Genomic DNA, 19022 nt, shown 5'->3' with positions numbered 1-19022 from the left:
ATACATTGGGTACAGTGTAGACTGCTCAGGTGATGGGTGCACCAAAATCTCAGAAATTGCCACTAAACTTATTCACGTAACCAAACATAACCTGTTCCCCAAAAACCTATTGAAATGTTAAAAAAGTGACTAATGCATTTAAATAAAAGACACAAAGAATGATACATGCTTATAAAACACAAAGCTTTTTTTCCCCGAAACACAGATGCATCCTCACATGAAATGTAACTGGCCATGAACCTTATCCCAAGCAAATGGCAAACATAATAAAGGGTATAATCCCATAGGAGGATATAATGTAATGGCATGTTTACCAAAGGGCAGTCTTATTCTCAATAATAAGCATATTCAGCCAATAATATGCAGCAATTTAAATATAATTAACTGTATAATATAGAGTTTAAGTAAATTAGATGATTCCAGTTCTCTGCATGCAACTGGCTTTTTGCCATACTACCACCAGCAAATCCCAAAGAACAAAGTTTTTTTTTATGTTTTCTCAGAACCTGCTAAAGGAAACTATCAAGAAACAGAAATACAGAGAGCAGATAATTCAATAATTTACAAAACTAAGTATCTTCATTAGTACAGTGATGAGTAAAAAAAAAGGACTAACATTTAATTCCTTTCACCACAAAAGGATATTAAAATTCTTTGAAGATCTTTGAAAATAGTATATTAATATGAAAAATAATAAAACAGCTGTCTGAAAAACCTCTGAAAAAAGTAGCTAAAATGGTAATTCTCACGATCATCATCATCAATAGAAGTGACCACTTACTATTTTTTATTTGCTAGGCACTAATGTGAAGCATTTTACATGCATTATCTCATTTCATATTATGAAACATCATCTCTGCTTTACATATGTAAAAATTATTATTCTTATGGTTAAGTTACTTGCTCTGGGTCTCAGAGCTAATAAGTGGAGGTAGAACTTAAATTCAGTTTTGTGTGAATCCAAAAGCAGTGCTCTTATCCATTATACCAGTGCTTCCCAACCTTTGTCACATGATGGCACACATTAAAAATATTTGTAAGGCTCATTGGGGTGAGCTGAAAGAGCTTGGTGAAAAAAAATTTTCTTGCTTGCCCTGGGGTCAAAAAAAAACAAAAACAAAACCCGCACACACAAAATTTCTTATTATGAAATTATGGCATGAAAAAAATACAAAGTATTACAAATGATATTAAATATTAAATTGGTATAAATTTAGTATTTATACCAAATAAAATTTTTTCAAATTACCAAATTCATGGTAGGGTAGGCACAGTGGCTCACACTGGTAATCCCAGCACTTTGGGAGGCTGAGATGGGAGAATCACATGAGGCCAAGCATTTGAGACCAGCCTGGGCAACATAATGAGACCCCCATCTCTAATTGTTTAAATAGTAAATAACCAAATTACCAAATTCATGAATTATACAAGAGGAAATCATACCAAAGATGTTCAAATGTAATTTCAACTGTTGTAAAAGTTTGAACTTATAAAAATGATTTAAAATTTCAATGCTATAAAAAATTTGTAAACAGCACACCTATATGCCATCCTAAGCACTGGAACATTGGTTGGGAAGCTTTGCATGGTATTTTTTCAATAGAATGTCATAATTAAACACTAATTTGATATACCAAGATCTTCCCAAGAACACTTTATTTTTTTTTTTTTTGAGACAAAGAGTCTCACTTTGTCACCCAGGCTAGAGTGCAGTGGCGTCATCTCTGCTCACTGCAACCTCCACCTCCCGGGTTCAAGCGATTCTCCTGCCTCAGCCTCCCAAGTAGCTGGGACTACAGGTGCACACCACCACGCCCGGCTAATTTTTGTACTTTTAGTAGAGATGGGGTTTCGCCATGTTGGCCAGGCTGGTCTCGAACTCCTGACCTCAGGTGATCCACCAGCCTCGGCCTCCCAAAGTGATGGGATTACAGCCAGGAGCCACCACGCCCAGCCCTTTCCAAGAACATCTAAATGAAATTCAAACCAAAGGTTATCAAAGGAAGAATTACAATACTGAAGTGTCTGTAAATAATCTGGCCCACACTAGCTGCTTAATTTGGTATAATTTCCATAATACCTACAATCTGTAACATTCATTTTGACTTAATAAGAATAGCTAATCTTCATGGAGCTAGTACTATGTGCCAAGCTGTGTTCTGCTTTACATTATTACCATATTTAATCCTCACAGCAATCCTAGGAGTAGCTCTATTTTCTCCATTTTAAAGATAAGAAAACTGAGGCCAAGAGAAATTAACTTTCCCAAGGCTATAACTAGTAAATGGGAATTAGGATTTAAAGCAGTCTGACTTCAGGACCCATGCTATTAATCACCATGTTAAACTACACCCCCATAAGAAAGAAAATATATCATGTGTCAGGAGACACAGGGTAAGTAGATAGATCTCAACTTAAACTAAGTTCCATAGTGATAAAGTAAAAATGACTTGCATCTACAGCAAAGGAGACATTATCCAGGAAAAAGAAAACTGTATACTGTTTTGGGTACATTTTGCTTATAGAAATAGCATAGAAGATAATTTTAATTTCCTATGTGTGTTATGATATGGCTCAAGCAAGAACATATGTTTCTGCAACCTATTTGAATTTGTGGATTTAACTTGCTCAAGAATATTTTAAAAATCTTACTTAAAAAAGAATGAAGTTGGTAAAAATTAAAAGCAAATATGTTTAGTACTTTGATTTTTACTTACTGCTTTTCAAGTTCCCTAAGTCAAGTGTCTAATTTTGTTTTTAATTAAATGCACTACAGATAAAATCCTGAACAAAAATTCTTCTAGACATCTGGACAAGTTCCGCCTATCCAAATTCTGCCTGCCTAATCCTGCATTTTGGAAGAAAGTCTCAAAGTTTCCAACTACATTACAATAAACTGATGTCCTAAGGGTATCTCTGTTGGTCAGTGTAAATCAAATCACTCACAGAAGATGAGAATACATCTTTACTTTCATAACCAATCGATCAATAAAGAAAATGCTGGCCAGGCACGGTGGCCTCACGCCTATAATCCCAGCACTTTGGGAGGCCAAGGCGGGTGGATCACAAGGTCAGGAGATTGAGACCATCCTGGCTAACACGGTGAAACCCCGTCTCTACTAAAAATACAAAAAATTAGCCAGGCGTGGTGGCGGGCGCCTGTAGTCCCAGCTACTTGGGAGGCTGAGGCAGGAGAATGGCGTGAACCCGAGAGGTGGAGGTTGCAGTGAGACGAGATCGCGCCACTGCACTCCAGCCTAGGCAACAGAGGGAGACTCCGTCTCAAAAAAAAAAAAAAGTTAACGCCCTGAATGTTATAGTTTATATCAAATTTCTCAAAGGCCCCAAGGACCAGTGTTCAACATTTGCTGGCTCAGGCTGGTTAACAGTAAATATTTAAGGAGCACCTACTAGGTACCAGGGACCATGCATATCCACCTGTTATACAGACAGTCGCAGTCTAGAACTACAATTTGAACTCGCATCTTCTGAAAGTTCAGGTATACAAACCGGAACCTTAAGCTCCAATACATAACTTTCCCTTTATAGTATATTCAAAAAAGCTATTACCAGAGCTTCTGCAATCTACAACCAACCAAATATGTTCACACGAAGAGACTAACAGGGGCACTTAGAATGTACAAAATAAGTCTTGGGTTACAGTGTACATTCTGTTCTCTGGAGCTTTATACCATGAAAATTTAGCATTTCCCCTAAAGTGACTCCTTTTCCTCAAAAATCAATTGTTTTAAAAAGTAAATTTCTATTGCTTGTAAGGGTTTCTGTAGAAACCCCTACTCCTACTTATTCTTCTCTAATGGAAATACTACCCTAGAAAATATTGGAAAATAATGGAAATACTACCCTAGAAAATCTTCACTAATAATGAAGAAATGTGGCTTGATTTATTAGTAAGCTAATGCCAGTATTCTTTGTATGATTTACTGAGCCTCTCAAAAATTTTGAAACTCATGTTGAGTAAAATACATCCGACTGTGTTTAAAAAAAGCCAATTAAAACGACTATCAAATAACATAAACAGTAATTCCTGAAGTCAATGGTTTTGCTTTGAAGAGGCCAAAAAGGATAAAACAGCCACCAGAAGTCTACCATAGTCTTTACAGTGAATATGTCCAACTCTGTAACTTATCCTAAGGTAACTATTCCAACTACACATCATCTATAGCAACTATTCAGCATCCTCCAATGTGTAATCTCTTGTTCACTAGATCTTCTGCTACAAACCTCAAAGAAATCATTCTTTAAATTTCTTCAGCTCACACCATTTCCCATCCTTTTGTAAAAACAGAAGAAGACGTTATAAAACTTTGAAAATAAAAATGATAGGAAACGGTGGAAAAGTAGAGATGGCCTCTGCACCCAAGCTCTTTTCCTTTATACCTGATAACTTGTCATTTATCTCACCTACCTATCTTCATGTTCCTGGATAATCCAGGGTTCTTCCAACAGTTCAAATGGCTCTCTTACTAACAAATGTCAACGTCCTTATGTGACCATTCTGTTCCAGTCTCTGTACCATCCATTCAAGCCTGCTAGCTTTATCCTGCCAAAGAACCACGACGCTCCAAACTCACAAACCATTATACAAGCCCAACATATACTCTATGCCGTTCTCGTTACCAACACGCTCCAACCCAACGTAAAACCTTCCTAGTATCAACTCTTCCTTTATGAGCTTTTCCCATATTCCTACTCCCTCAACATCTACCGGCCCATACTCCCAAGTCTCTCTGCTAAACGCAATTCTAGCCCGGAGTCACACCCTCTACAGCCTAATTCCCGCAACCCCAAAACCCCACCCCCCTCATCACGCCCTCTGGGGCCTCAGCTAGGAACCCCAACACCCCGCCCCACGCCCGGCACGCCCTCCAGATCCCTTTAGGGTCCTTTCCGTCGGCCCGACCAGACCCCGTTCAGGCCTTCCAAGCGCCTAGGCTCTCCCGACCACCACTCAGTCCCCGCCTCCAGCCCCTCACCGAGTAGCAGCAGCTTCACTTCTTTGGCCGCTTTTTCCCCGTCCTCCCGTAAGTTGCGGTCGATCATCTTGCTTCGCTCCACTGCCGCCTTGTCTTCGGCGCTCAACGTGCAGCCCATGGCGGCGGCGGGAGAGGGGACACGGGCCCGGACTCACTCACACCACGGAAACTGCGGCTCGGCAGGCTGAGGCACCGTCTATTGCTGGGCGGTGGCCCTCTCCGTCAGCTCCCTTAGCGCCCAGAAGAACCGGATATCCGACGTTTACGACACTTCCGGCGACGCCCCGCAGCCTTCACCGTTTAAACCACTCTCCTCAGGGAGAGGAGTTGAGACCGAAAGCGGAAGTCACGGGGAGCTGGCGGCTGGGTTGGGCGGCGGATCTGCAGAGTTTCGAGGTTCTGTCAAGTTCGCTGCCCGCCGCCCAACTTGAAGCCTCATTTACCTTTCGGCTACCTGATTTGGATAAATGGAGAAAAACCGGGGCCTCTAACTCATAATGCCCTCCCGCGTTCAAGATGCCAGTTTTGGGGCGGAGATTTCTAAATTAAAGCCTACATCCCGCGCGGGAATATCTGCTGGTAATTTCTCGCCTGCCAGAAAACTCCTTTGATCTCTGGCTGTGGAGACTCGGGACCCCTACCCAAGTATGGGACACTGCCTCCGTTGGGGTTATCTCAGATCAATGGAATGGGAACAAGCTATCCGGCCTGGGCGCCGTTCACGTCTCACATCTGAGATCGTAACACCGACTGTGCTTAGGACCTCAGCAATAACTTTTTGCCGTCTCTGGCCCACTGACTCCTCTCAAAATGTCCCCTGGTCCTTTTGCTATTCACGTATTTCTGTGGGCTTGAGATTTGCTTAACTCCTATATTGGCAAAAGGCCACTTGAAATCGCTAGCAGATACTCGATAACCTGAAAGGTAAGCCTGTAGTTCCTCCATAAAATTTCCATGCTGCCCTTCTCTCCAGTATAATTCAGATCTTCCTACCTTAGGGTCTTAGAACTAAAACCAAGATAAGTCAACTTCAATTCCACACCCCGAAACAAACCAGTGCATCCTGTGAATCTCCTACTAAAATTTCCTGTTGCGATAACATGCAAAAGGAGAGGTTCTAGTAAAATTTGCCTCTCAGCCCTAGTATCACCTGAAACTTAAGTCCACTGTGAAAGTCCCAGGCAGATAGCATCTTTCACTAATAACCCTGGATACTGCGTGAAGGTAGTCCTAAATCAACTTTTCAGGCAAATAAGCCCACAATTACTATACGTTCTAGCGAAGGGAACTCAGTCCCTAAAACCTTTCCCTGTGATTGTAAATTTATTTCTCTAATAGAATCTGAACTTGAGAAAGTAAGGTCCCAACAGAGAGGTTTATATAGTGATGATTCATTAATTAGAAGGATTTAATTAGAGGATTAGAGCCACCTTAAAAAGCCTCGTCCACCTTAACTCTTAGCAATGCCAATTCTTCAAGGTTTGAAAAGTCCCCCAGTCATTCCCAAATGACTGTTAAGAATGAAAGGGACTGCTTTTCCATTATCAATACTTTTGGGGAAAAAGGGCAAGAGGAAAGGGAAGTAAAACCAGTATTTATTGAGTACCTATTTGCCAGATACGGCTAGGTGCTCCCACATCCCATCTCTTAATCCTCACAACAACCCTGTGAGGTAGGTAATAATGATCCCCATTTTTACAGGTGAGGAAGTAGGCTCAGAGAAATTAAGCAGCTTTCCCAACTTCACACAGTGAGTAAGTACATCTATCTGACCCCAGAGTTACCCTTTTCTATCATGCCCCCGTAGGATATTGCCTGGGGACACCTGACAACAGAAAGTCTAAGGTTTTCATCTAGGATTGGGAGTTACCCCAACACCAGCAGGATGCAGGAAAAAGTAACTGACCGGATGGTTGCCTCAATCTGTTGATTCTTCAGTGAGTTAGCTCAGATTTTGTCCAGGAACAGCTTTCAGAGCCAAAGATTACGTATTGAACTTTACCAAGGCATCTGGTGACTAGAAAACTCCTGGAAGGTGGTCATAGCAGAAATTGTTGGGAAAGTTCTCAGCATAATAAAAGAGAAATTTTTATTTCCTTCATGATCCACTCCTACAGGGAAAAATAAATGGCAAATGAACCCATGTATGTCAAACTCTGTAATAAACACCAGTGAGATCACAGTGTCAGGAAATTTCAGCCTGAATTAAAGATACCCTTGCTCTTAAAACTTTCTTCTTTGATGTATGTGAAGGAAGGGCTGGAGGGCAAAGTCAAAGGAAAAGGCAAAATAAATTAACAAAATGGCTGCCAGGCAATGTTTAATGCCCTCCCCTTCCTCCTCCCACCACGTACACTCGCCTTTCCTCCTTCCATTGGGCTCACACTGCCACCTGCTGGCAATTCCTTGGATCTAATAGCTGATCAGTGGTGTTTGAAAGAAGAGTTTTTTCCCTGTCTAGGAATGATTGATTCCTCTGTATGCATTTATTTTAATAGGGAGGAGAGGTGAACATGTTTTTCAATCACAAAGGACTCTCCTCCCTATATATACTATGTTTTTAGGGAACTTCCACAATGTAATAGGCACTAGACTGGTATAATAATCTAGTGGTAGGAAGACAACCTAGAAATTTTCCTAGAACAAAGGGGGAAAGCTGTTTGCCCAGTTTCATTTAATTTTTTTTCTTCATTAGAGAGTTTCATTTACAACCCCTATGCTTTCCACAATCTGCAGGAAGCTTCAAGGTATGCATCTTGCTGCCACGGGCTGAACTCTCAGAAGTTAGAGCCATGGACATATTCTCCAATATATTTCTCAAGCACATTCTGTAGTGCTTTATCAAATCAAAGTGCTTTGTGAAAATATAAGGTATCTCATCAACTTAGACTATGAACTCCTTAAAAGCAATGACCACACGCCCTGTGTGGGTCCCAGGGACTAGTGGGTGTTCAACTATTATGCACTGAATTGAACTAAAGGAGTCAATGTTGTTATCAGTATAACCTTTTATCATAAAAATTATTTATTAGCTGCTTAAATGGGAGACTATCCCACTCCCACCAGCCCATTTCCCCTTTTGATGCTCAGTGAGCCAGGAATTTGTTCAAATAGAGACCACACCACCCTCTGGCCCTGCCTTGATCCGTTAGTGTTACCTGATTCAATTGAGGGAAGTAGGATGGACAGGTGGTCCCAGATGGGTGTCCTGTCCAGTTTGCAGTTATTCCCTGTTTGTTGAAAATACCACCACCAATACCAACCAACACAGTTCCTACAGTCTCAATCAATGAACAGCCAAGACCAACTCCCGTGCCCTCTCTCCAACCCAGTGCTGCAGATAGGAGAGAGATTTAAGTCTTTGTCACTGAAGCTAATTTTGAGAGCGATGAATGGGAGTAGGAAGGCATTTAATGGATCATGGAAACCCCACCCTTCCCATGCCCAACCTTAAGTCTCTTGTACCCGATTGTCCAGGGGACTGGAGGTGGGTCGCTGCCATGAGGAGAGAGATCAGGGAGGCCAGTCCTGGAAAGAAAAGATTCGCAGTATTATTGATCAGGCTGATTACCTGGCCTCTCTGTTTCCAGCTACTTTACCAATTCAAATGCTAACCTCCACCCTCGCCCGTCTGACCCCCAGTCATTCTAATTCTTCCTCCTAAAAGAGAGGAAAGCCATCCTGCCTTATTCTTGTCTCTGCTAAGATCAGGCTCTACCCTTGATCTCCTGTGTGCAGGAGAGAGACAGAAAAATAGAACAGAAGGGCTTTTCCTGAAGGGTGGGAGAGAGAGAGCTGCAGTCAGCTTTCCTATCTTCTACTCCATGTACCCTAATTTCTATTTTGCCTTGTTTCTGGCCAAACTCAGTAAAGGAATACACCCTACTGGTCCTCTCATTTTAAGGAAATCTCAGGTATAAAACCAGAAAAATGATCTATTAACTCAAGTGGAAACACTTGGCTATAATTTAGTTCTTTTTAAACCTAGCAAGGAAATGAGAAAACATGGGTCATTTTCTTACCTTGCTTGGGTGCAATTACTGCCCTGGACAATTACACTGAAAAATAAAATATCCTAAATGGCCCCTAGAATAACTCCAAACCTGGCCTGCTGCCCTGTATCCTCCAACTCCTACCCTTAGAGAATTCCCTGCTTCTGGAAGCATGGAAATTTCACCAATTGAGAGGTTTCACCTCACCTTTGTGACCCTTTTCTCTCGTCACCGTCTCACCATACCCAGGTTCCCTCCCCTAGCAGTCAAAGATCACAGCCAAGTCCAAGGCTTTTGCACACGTTCATCCTGTTGGCTCTGTTCCTGACCCAGGAAACACTAAGCAAAAGCTGTGTGCAGAGACCCCAGCCTCAGCCCTAGCCAGCTGGGAAAAGGTGATCCCACAAGGTGGTCCTTGCAATCATAACTGGCCCCAGCCCCATATCCCTCCGAGTGTCCAGCGGCCCATCATGACTCCAGCCGGGGTGAGGCGGCAGGACGGAGGTAGCTGTCTGACATGATGATGTCGCTGGTGAGTTGCTGCTCCAGGAACTCAGAGGTCTCCTCAGCTATCTGGCCTGGGATTCGAAAGTCAACAGCAGGTGGCTCCTGCTTGGGGCTGGGTAGGGGTCGGGAAACCCAGGACTCAGAAGGACAGCCAGTCCCCTGAAGGAACTGCAGGAAGTTCTCCTCAATGGAGCCCTCCCGGCTAGGCAGCCTCAGCTCCTCCTCTGGAGCTGGCTTGAAGAAGCAGACAAACTGCTTGCTGAGCTCCCCCCGGATCTGCCGGTTGAGACATCCATAGAAGAAAGGGTTGGAAGTGAAGCAAAAGTAGCCAATCCAGGTGACCACACTCTCCACCTGCCCAGTTGAAATGGGCTGAGCACTCAGGGCAACATAGAGGTGGAAAGAGAAGTAGGGCAACCAACAGAGCAGGAACTGTCCCCCCACAGCCAGGAGAACCACTGCTGCTTTCCCTCCCCCAAACGTCCGGTGTGGGGTGGTCTGGGGGGCCCCCGAGCTGGTGACCATCGTGGAGCGGCTGCTGAGAGATTCGGAGCGTTGCCGGGGTGTCTCCATCCACGTGGGCAGCGGCCCGTGCTGCATGGCAGCCACGCGGGCCACTCGGAACATGCTGCAGTAGACCACAAGTATGAGGAGCAGGGGCAACAGAAAGTAAAGGACAGCAAAGACCACCACAAAAAGCTGGCAGTAGGCACTGTGGCTCCACTGGAGTGAACAGCCTGGGGGGACACTGGGAGCTCCTTCCTCCCAGGAGACCCTTCCCAACACTGGCACAGAAGCCATGGCCAAGGCCTTCACCCACACACCCACCAGCACAGAGGCCACCAGCCCCAGCGTCATGCGCACCTCGTAGCGCATGGGGTGGACTACGTAATAGTAGCGCTCCACATTGATGGCTGACACCGAGAGGATGGCCAGGCTGACAAAGCACACGCTCAGAAACAAGTAGAGGCGGCAGGCCACCTCCCCAAAGAGGGCGTGGTCAAAGAGGGCAGAGCTGGAGAGCATGGCCAGGGGCATGAGGGTCAGGGCAGCCAGCAGGTCCACCAGGCAGAGGTGGAAGACGAAGACAAATTTTCGGAGGGCAGGCGTCTTGGCGATCACGGCCATCACAGCGGCATTGCCAGCCACAGCAGTCAAGTCCAGCAGGAGCATGAAGAAGAGGGCCACAGATTCCGAAGCAACATCCCGTAGCCCCACCTCCGGGACCCCACTGGCAGTAGAGGGACCTGGGGTTTGAGGGACCCTCCCCAAAGTGGAAGAGTTCCCTGATGACTGGGGGATGGGTGAGGACTCCATGGGGCCGAAAGAGGGCACCCAGGGTACCTCCTGTCACAGGCCCATCCCCCATCCTAGTCCAGCGACCCTGGGATGGCGAGCCCAGGCCCAGGCTTCCTGGTTTCGTAGGGGGCACCTCCCACTGGAGCCTCTTGGGCAGGTTTGTCTGCGTACAGAGCGCCAGGCCAGGCAGCTGAAGGATCAGAAGCTCATCCCCTTTCTGGCCGGAGGTAGCTGCAGGGTCTGCCTTGGTGACTGCTAAGAAGCAGGAGACGTGAGAGGTGCAGGAGCCTGACCCACTCAACACTCCGCTTTCGGAATGGCCTTCACCTCTTCCTTTTCCATCTCCTTTCTGCCATTCTTGTTCTCCATACCCTTCTACCCTTTCCAGAACTGTTAGCCGGGGATTCTAAATCCTGTTTCTCCTTCCCAGGGTCCTGCTGATCTCTGGGATAGTGCCTCAGTTTTAGGGTTCCTTATGTAAATTTCCTGATTTCTTGTCTCCTCAGAATGGCAAGAGCTGCTGGGGAGTAGAAGGAGCACAAAATTTAGTTTCTAGTCCCAGTTCTGGGCATTACTAACTCTGTGAATCTTCTGAATTTCAGTTTCCTCATAAATCCATCTGTAAAATGAAAGGAAGAACACTTGCTTCACAACTGTGTTTCTGGATCCTGCGTGATTTGTTAATAATAATACTAATGACAAGCAGTAGCATTGATACGGCGTTTTCCACATGCCAGACCCTGTTCTCAGCACTCTACCTATATTAACTCATTTTATTCCTCACACAACCCTATGAAGTAGATAATATTTTTATCTCCATTTTGCAAGAGATGAAGCTGAGGTCTAGAAAGGTTAAGTAACTTACCCAAGGTCGCACAGCTAGTAAGCGGCAAGGGCTGGGCACCTACCTGGGCAGTCTGGCCCCAGGTCCAGTACTCTTGCCCACTGTGCCATGCCATATGTGAAGGTGCCCTCCGTGCCGGCTGGACTATAATAGGCATCCAGTAAATAGTTGTTGAATTTCAGCTGTCTCTAAAACTGTCTCTTGCTGCCCTAGGGTTATCATCTGAAAAGGGGAGCTGTGCTTTAGGCTCTTTTGACATCACTACTCCCAGCACAAAGAGCTGCCACTTTGGGAATGTTGAGTAGGAGCAGTGAAAACAAAATGTCCCGTCTGGAAGGAAACTGGGAGGCCAGCTCATCCAGCCTCCACTGCTCCCAAAGCCGGAAGTTGCTTCAAGCTGCCCTTCTCCACCCACTCATGAACTCTTCAAGGCCACTGTGCCCCTCTTGTGGGAAAGGAGCTGCTGCCAACCTCCTGCTCCCCAGATCCCCAAATCTCTGATCTCTGGAGCTGACCCTTGGAGGATCCCTGACCAAGAGCCGCATTGGTTCTAGACTTACTACAGTCACAGAACAAGAAGTAGGGAGGAGACACTGAGGTTGCTCAGTTTAAAAACCCATCATTTCTATGGCTGCAATAAAGAGGATCACATGGCAAGATGGGCCCCACTCTCCTCCACAGTTATAGCCTTACAGTCACCTTTGGTTTTTGGTGTTTCCATAAACCTTACACCAATCCAACTTCTAACATGCTATGCATGCAATAGGTGCTGAATACAATTTTGTGAATTGAATCAAACTCAAATTGGTAGTTGAATCCCTGCCCCCTAGGACAAACTCCAAGAACACTCAGTCAGCCAGCTGTGTGCCAGCCAAGGGACTCTCTTGTGGAAAGGGTAGCCGGGGTTCCTGGACTTGAGGAAGCCCTAACTTTGGGCAACTGCCTAGAGACGTGCCTCTCTCTAGGGACACAGAAAGCTCATTTCACAGTTAAGATGCCCACAGAGACTTAGAGTCTGCAGAGAAGTTGAAGAGCGGGCACAAAAGTGAGACATCAGCTTCTCATTAGAGTCTACCAGGAAAAATGCCTGAAAGAAATGCTAGGAGAAGCATCCTTCCTTCTTACTCTCCATGCTCTGATTTACCTATCCCTTCTGTCTGTGAGTGAGGCCCAGAGGATGTGGTTCAGAGTCCCTCCCTGGTGGCTGAAGGAGGAGAGGCCCACCATGTCTGGATGGACATCAAGAGTCCCAGACGGAGGGAAGCAGACCTGGTTTCCACGTGGAGCTGGAGGGATGCCACGAAGCCATGATGGAGCCCTGAGCAAGAAGGCATTGGACATTGCTCTTTTTCATAGCTCCCTCAAGCTTGCCAGTGTCTCCACAGTGACTCCTAAATGCCAGGATTCCAATTTACCTCTTAACAGACAGATCAGTGTATCTGGCTAATGGGCACTCCCTCACTAATGGACTGGGGTTATGGAGGGGAGGGCTGTGGTGTAACAGTTTCATAGGTGAAACCCAGGGAGCCTCACTCCTCTCCCAGGTCATATCATTATGCCTACTCCCCCAACAGATGCTTTCCTTCCCCCACTACTTACTTCCAACAGCACCCCTCTTACCTCCAGGACCTTCAGTACCTAGAAGGCTTTGCCACTAGGGCCTGAGGTCTGGGCCTCTAGCAGGGGCATGGTCAAGTTACAGGATGCAAGATGTGCATAAGTGCCCAGCCCAAGGCCACAGAGGTATTGGGATTCACATGCACCTGTTTTCCAGATCCAGAGCTTCCATCCCAAAGACCTGAGCCTGGCCTTCCTTCAGACAAGAGCGTGCCCCTCCTAAGCTAGGGAAGATTTCCAGGGAGCTACAACACCTCTCCTCAGCAGAGTTGCCCACGCCCAGGACACAGTTGCCCATCAGCCTGTATGCTGAAGGGCCCATTCCTAGAATGTGGGAGACCCATGTCCATGACATGGAGCAAGACAGATGGAGAATGCTGTTTGTCTGCAGGATGTGGGTACTCCTGCCGGCAGGAGATGATCAACCCCCCAGCTCTGGGCTTCAGAGATGCCCACACCCCAATACCGCCTTTGGGATACCTGAGAGCCCATCTCCTGATCAAACTGCTCACCGGAATGTAGGCAGGGCTGGTCCTTGGAAAGCCACCCTTCTGTGGGGATACCTTGGCACTCACCACCAGGCTCTGGGTCTGGCCCCCATTCCTGGCCTAGTCGGCAACTCCTACCTTTGCTGAGCAGTCCCGGCTCCCATGTGATAGCTCCTCTCAGCTGATGCTTCTCCAAGGCTGCTGAAGCCTGAAGCACTGCAGTGAGCGGTGAGAGGCAGCCGGCAAAGCAGAGTGCTCCGAGAGCCTCTGGGTCCTAATGGCCTCCTGCTTCCCACCCAGCCCCTCAGAGTCACTTCTGGAGCAAAAAGGTGGGCACCAATGCCCCAGGCAAGGTGCCTGGCAGTGAGCTCAACTCCTCTCACTTCTCTCAGGCTGCTGGATTGCGTCTCAAAAATTTCGTGGGGCCAGGAAATGATAGGTAGGGGAGACCCTCTTGACCAGCCTGATGAAGTAAAAAAAAAAGTACATGGAGTCAGAAAATCCAGGTTTAAGGCCTGGCTATGGCACTTACTAGCCGTGTGACCTTGGGCAAGTTGCATTTTGGCCTTGATTTCTTAGCAGTTCAAAGAGAAGATAGGAGAGATGCATGGTTCTGTGTGACATCAGAACCAAGGTGCTGATGCAGGCAGGTCAGCGCAGACCCAGGGCCCCAAGGCTTAGGCCAGGGAGGCGGCTGAGGCTCCAGGGGATGGTCCAAGGTTTGGCCCCTTTGGAAGCTGCCTAATGCGTATGGGGGACAGGTTTAGGAGCAGCACTCAGGTTTGAAGGGCAGCTGAAGGCTTTGTCTTAACCCTGCCCTTGCCTCCCAAAAGCACATTATTATTATTTGCTTAGATTGTATGTTTATTGGAACTGGGGCTGTGAGGGCTGATGGAGATTGGCAGGGAGGGGGCGGGAGGATCTAACATCCCCCCGAGCCACCATGGGAACCACCACAACACTGCTTCCTGAAGGAGACAGAGTGGGGGCCAGGGACTCAGGAATGCTCACACTGATCTGGATTTGTGGGACTGGACAGAGCTAGGTAGCATCAGCCACTGAGCATCGCCCATCTGTGGCATGATGGGCCTTCAGAGACGCAATGAAGGGGCATGGCCTCCCTCTAGCTATGAAGAAAATGATCATTTACCCGGGTACATGACTGATACCCAAGGATAGAATCCTAACATTGCAAAGCTGTAGGACATCCTACAGGCCAAGGTATCCATGTTTCTGAGACCCAGAGAGATAAAGAGATTGCTCAAAGCCACATAGCTCCACATGGCAGAGCCATGAGTCTAAACAGGGAATTCAGGCATGATCCCCTACTCCAGAGCCTGCTTCCCTGAGACTTGCCTATCTAGGGACTCCTTCTGCCTCTAAGAAGGAAAAAGGGAATTCTGGAATTGTTTACCAGACCCAACCCAAAGAGCCATAAGAACAATGAGTTACCCAAGGACCTCACTGGGACAAGTTGGCTGCCCCAAGCCCCAGGTCAAAAACAAAGAGGCCACTGACAAACCAAGAGCCGATGCAGCAAGTGCCGCTGTCACCAGCCACCACTTTTTGAGCTGTTATGAGTGCCAGGCCCTTTACATACAGTTTCTTTGATCCCCACACCAATCTATGAGGCAGCCATGACTTGCCCTATTTTATAAGTGAGGAACCGGGTGCTGGAGGAGAAGTGACTTTCCCCAAATCACACAGCTAATAAGTGCAAGAGCTGATATTTGAACCCAGATCTGTTTGAAGTCCAAGTATTTCCTCCTCCTTCTCCCTTCGTTCCGTGGCCTCTCCAGTGGCCTGACACAAGACTGTGGACTACAGCCCTAAAAGCTATCTTCATAGAAGTAGTCACTGCCTTCCAGAAAGCCTAAAACAGACCTCAAAATTAGGCATACCTGCGTACAAGAAATTCAAATGGAAATACCAAATTGAAAACCTGTAGACAGCAAAGTGATTTTTAGGAAGCCCTGTGCTGTTGTGTTGGCAAGATTAATTTGGCATCAAGCAGATTGTCTGGGATTAGGTAAAGCCTGTCCCTGCTCAGCACCCACATTCTTCCTGCAGGGCCCCAGCCCAGACTGGCATGGCCCCTTCCGAGGGATTCAATAAGAACTGGAGCAGACCTGGGCCCACTGGAACAGGATTTTAGAAAGAGCGCTAGACTGGAGTCAGAAAACCTTGGTTCCAGTTTGGCGCCATTCTATTGGTTGGTGGTAAGACCTTGGCCTGTGAGTTGGCTGTCTGTGAAAATGGGCAAAATTCTTCACTTCCAAGCTTATCTAATAGTGGTAGGGAGCCTGCAAAACAAACATAGCCTGCCTCTCCAGCTTCAGGGAGCTAGCACAGGTAATCACAGCTCATGTGGTGGCCAGCAGGCAAGGCGTCCGTGTCCTGAAGCCCCTCCCAGAGAGCTATTGGGAAAGGCAGTACCAAAGAGGCAGCATGTTCCAGCTGTTGGAACCATCTTGGCTCAGGAGGTCGGCGGGGGAACTGCTTATTCTAGCCTGTGGGCAAATAATAAATAATAATAATAATCATGCTGGCTGGGCACAGTGGCTCACGCCTGTAATTCCAGCACTTTGGGAGGCTGAGGCGGGCAGATGATTTGAGATCAGGAGTTCAAGACCAGCCTGGCCAACATGGCGAAACCCCGTCTCTACTAAAAATACAAAAATTAGCTAGGCATGGTGACACATGCCTGTAATCCCAGCTACTCAGGAGGCTGAGGCAGGAGAATCGCTTGAACCCAGGAGGTGGAGGTTGCAGTGATCTGAGATCGCACCATTGCACTCCAGCCTGGGCAATAAGAGTGAGACTCTGTCTCAAAAAATAATAATAATAAATAATAATAATAATAATGCTACTAGTTCTTGAAGGCCCACTTTGGGAGGCACTTCTTATGCTGTATCTTATTAAATGATCTCAGTCAGGGTGTGGAGTAGCTACTGACAGCACACCCCCAACCCCACCTGCCAGTCCCTCCTTTTAGTAAAGCTTAGCACAATGGAGGGGGCAAGAAGACCAAGATGGAGAAACTGAGTGTGATCCCCCAAACCACATAAGAGATCCATGGCTCACTATGCTGTGCACACACCCAGGAAGGGAATCCTGTTACAGGACGGGGACCAGGCCCTGTTTCCAACAGTGGCACCCCTTCCCTTGGTATCATGGCAGGGCCCTTGCTGCTGAGGACTGATCTTTGCATCCTAGACTTGCTCCCTGGTACAGTTTTACCCAACCCTTGTGCACCAGCACCTCGTGACAGGGTCGTGTCTGCCCATCCACCCTTTTCTGCCCCAGGATGAGACCTGGAAGCCAATCAAGTTTATCTTTCATTCATCCATCCACTTCTTCAATAAACATTGAAGACTTCTTATGTTGCCACTGCCCCCTCCCTAGAGCCCCTTGCCTGCTCAGTGGCACCCACTACCCTCCTTCTCTGCCTTGTGTCAGAATCTGCTCTCAGGAAAGAGGTTGATAAACCCATTTGCACTGATAGCAACTTAATGTGTTCTTTCCCAGGAATATTAACAATTTAACAGGGAACAAAGAGAAGAAGCAGAACGTTGGGATTCCAGCATCGACCAGGGATGTCCCTGAGATCCCACAACATAGACTGCCTGTCAGCCGCCTACTCCCTAGCCAGGCCTCCCCCGCCAAGCTGCTGGCATTGTGTCCTCTTGGCATCCACCTCCATCCGCATGGGCACCCAACCCCCCCGCCCCTGCCAACCAGACAGCAGGCTTACAGCTGGGACCTCCACACCACAGCTCAGTTCCTGGCTTCCTGGGGCCCCCCTGTACCAGCACCAGCCATGCCTGCTTTCCAAGCACTCACCTCACCCTGCCCAGCATCTGGGAGCCAGGCCAAGGGGCTGAGGAGGGAGGCAGAGGAAAGCAGAGGTGAGAGCCCTTCCATTCTCTTTATTCCCCCACTGTCTGGCCTACACCCCCTGCCAGGAGCTGAGATCCAATGGTATATTCAGCCTGCAGCTGCCACTGGTCATGTGAGCCCATTGCTAGGTTACAGGGACCCAAAAATAAATCCTTCCCAACCAGATTAGAAACTGGGGGCCTCGGATGAACCAGGCTCAAAAGAGTGGCAGGAACACCCACAGTGCATGTTTAGGCCAGGCCTGCTATGGACCAGGGCCCTTCCCATGCTGCCCACCTCCTGTCCATCAGCAGGGGCTCAATGCTGGAACCCCACAGAAAAGTCCCAGAGAGCTCCTGGGTCTCCTATTTATTAATAACACAATAAATAGGTCTACAGGTTGAGTGGCCCTTCCTCACTAGCAATCAGGGTAATATCCTCTGCATGTTCTTCCCATCCAACCTTCCCATCATCAGCCTGTCCCTCCACAGGCCCTGCCCTACACCCAGTGCATGGGCAAAGCGAATTAGTCATTTGCCCTGTGGCCTGGGGGCCATCTGCCCTAACAGTCCTTTTCCAGACTCGGGAAGGGAGCTCTGGCAGTAGGCACAGCACTAGGCGTATTCGTGTGAGTAGTCTTACACAATCTTCTCTGTTAGTCTCAATGATTCCATTTACAGATATGGACACTGGGGCTTAGAGAGGTTAAGTGACTTTTGCAGAGCCACACAGTTGAGCAACTGGGGTTCAAACCCCAGATCTATACTATGGGGATGAGGCAAGGAAGAAGACAGGGAAGCACAGTTATGGAAAGGGGAGTTCCCCAAAACCCTTCCCTGGGGCCTGAAAACTTGGCACTTTAATTGCTCTGAATTGGAGGGGAGTTATCTCCCCCTGGAACTTCTTTCACATCCTCCAAGCCAGGACGCAGCTTACCCAGGCCACGTACCTCCTTCCCCATGGCTTTGGGCTCTGTCCCCTTCTCTGGGAAATACTGTCCAGGACCTGGGTGGGGTCATCCCCGGTGCTGAAGCCTGGGGAGGCAGACACAAATCCCCACTGCTCAGCACAACCCTGCTTCAGAAGCTTGACATAGGGCCAGAGTAGCAAAGCTGAAAGGATCACAGGAGGTCAGGTGTCTAACTCCTGATTTTACAGATGAACAGGCCTAGAGTGGAAAGGGAACTTGCCCAGGGCTAGGCTACACAGCTAGAGGGTAAAGGAGGTGCAACCAGAACCCAAGCCTCCGGAGTCCTGCTCCTTTTTTCAGCTTGTCATTAATGGCGCACATTTGGGTTCCTGGGGCCCTTCCTCAACCCACCATATCCCTAGGACCTCCCAGCTGTCTGTTTTCTTCAGCTCCTCCTCCCCAGCAAGGTTCTGAGAAGGCCCAGACACC

At 47.4% G+C, this 19022-nt stretch overlaps 2 protein-coding genes across 6 annotated transcripts in view, besides 6 other annotated features; both read right to left on the bottom strand.

The window, feature by feature from the left end:
• GNAI3 (G protein subunit alpha i3) overlaps positions 1–5221 on the bottom strand; it is a 51581-nt gene extending 46360 nt beyond the window's left edge. The window contains exon 1 of the mRNA NM_006496.4: positions 4998–5221. Within this exon, the coding sequence (NP_006487.1) occupies positions 4998–5115 (118 nt within the window). The 5' untranslated portion in view covers positions 5116–5221. The remainder of the gene's footprint in view (positions 1–4997) is intronic.
• Positions 4935–5104: an enhancer, noted in NCBI's record as "active region_1445". NCBI's record gives its function as "activates an Ori minimal core promoter by ATAC-STARR-seq in GM12878 lymphoblastoid cells {active_cell/tissue: GM12878}" and the evidence as "EXISTENCE:reporter gene assay evidence [ECO:0000049][PMID:35858748]".
• Positions 5635–5694: an enhancer, noted in NCBI's record as "active region_1444". NCBI's record gives its function as "activates an Ori minimal core promoter by ATAC-STARR-seq in GM12878 lymphoblastoid cells {active_cell/tissue: GM12878}" and the evidence as "EXISTENCE:reporter gene assay evidence [ECO:0000049][PMID:35858748]".
• Positions 6576–13964, bottom strand: GPR61 (G protein-coupled receptor 61). Of its 5 annotated transcripts, none has more exons than XM_047431615.1 (4): positions 13769–13964; positions 9197–11414; positions 8156–8525; positions 6576–7108 (listed from the first exon to the last, which is right to left on the bottom strand). In XM_047431615.1, exon 2 carries the CDS (start codon positions 10811–10813, stop codon positions 9458–9460), a length of 1356 nt encoding a protein of 451 aa, XP_047287571.1. In that variant the 5' UTR covers positions 10814–11414; positions 13769–13964; the 3' UTR covers positions 6576–7108; positions 8156–8525; positions 9197–9457. The 5 variants fall into 5 exon arrangements, with proteins under 5 accessions (XP_047287571.1, XP_047287573.1, XP_047287570.1 ...); XM_047431617.1 differs by having other exon boundaries at positions 8447–8525; XM_047431614.1 differs by having other exon boundaries at positions 13883–13964.
• Positions 7209–7445: a silencer, noted in NCBI's record as "fragment chr1:110089013-110089249 (GRCh37/hg19 assembly coordinates)". NCBI's record gives its function as "represses an EF-1alpha promoter that drives an FKBP-Casp9 reporter gene in an ReSE screen in K562 erythroleukemia cells {active_cell/tissue: K562}" and the evidence as "EXISTENCE:reporter gene assay evidence [ECO:0000049][PMID:32094911]".
• Positions 9607–10145: an enhancer, noted in NCBI's record as "H3K4me1 hESC enhancer chr1:110086313-110086851 (GRCh37/hg19 assembly coordinates)". NCBI's record gives its function as "activates a minimal SCP1, AML or CMV promoter by ChIP-STARR-seq in naive H9 embryonic stem cells {active_cell/tissue: H9 hESC(naive)}" and the evidence as "EXISTENCE:reporter gene assay evidence [ECO:0000049][PMID:30033119]".
• Positions 13450–13949: an enhancer, noted in NCBI's record as "H3K4me1 hESC enhancer chr1:110082509-110083008 (GRCh37/hg19 assembly coordinates)". NCBI's record gives its function as "activates a minimal SCP1, AML or CMV promoter by ChIP-STARR-seq in primed H9 embryonic stem cells {active_cell/tissue: H9 hESC(primed)}" and the evidence as "EXISTENCE:reporter gene assay evidence [ECO:0000049][PMID:30033119]".
• Positions 13950–14451: an enhancer, noted in NCBI's record as "H3K4me1 hESC enhancer chr1:110082007-110082508 (GRCh37/hg19 assembly coordinates)". NCBI's record gives its function as "activates a minimal SCP1, AML or CMV promoter by ChIP-STARR-seq in primed H9 embryonic stem cells {active_cell/tissue: H9 hESC(primed)}" and the evidence as "EXISTENCE:reporter gene assay evidence [ECO:0000049][PMID:30033119]".

This window comes from Homo sapiens, chromosome 1 (assembly GCF_000001405.40).
Source record: "Homo sapiens chromosome 1, GRCh38.p14 Primary Assembly".
Lineage (NCBI taxonomy): Eukaryota > Metazoa > Chordata > Mammalia > Primates > Hominidae > Homo > Homo sapiens.
This window is presented reverse-complemented; position numbering and strand designations above follow the sequence as displayed.

What these genes read in the sequence shown, in the direction of transcription:
- GPR61 (XM_047431615.1), bottom strand. Translation starts at nt 10,813, where the DNA reads ATGGAGTCCTCACCCATCCCCCAGTCATCAGGGAACTCTTCCACTTTG.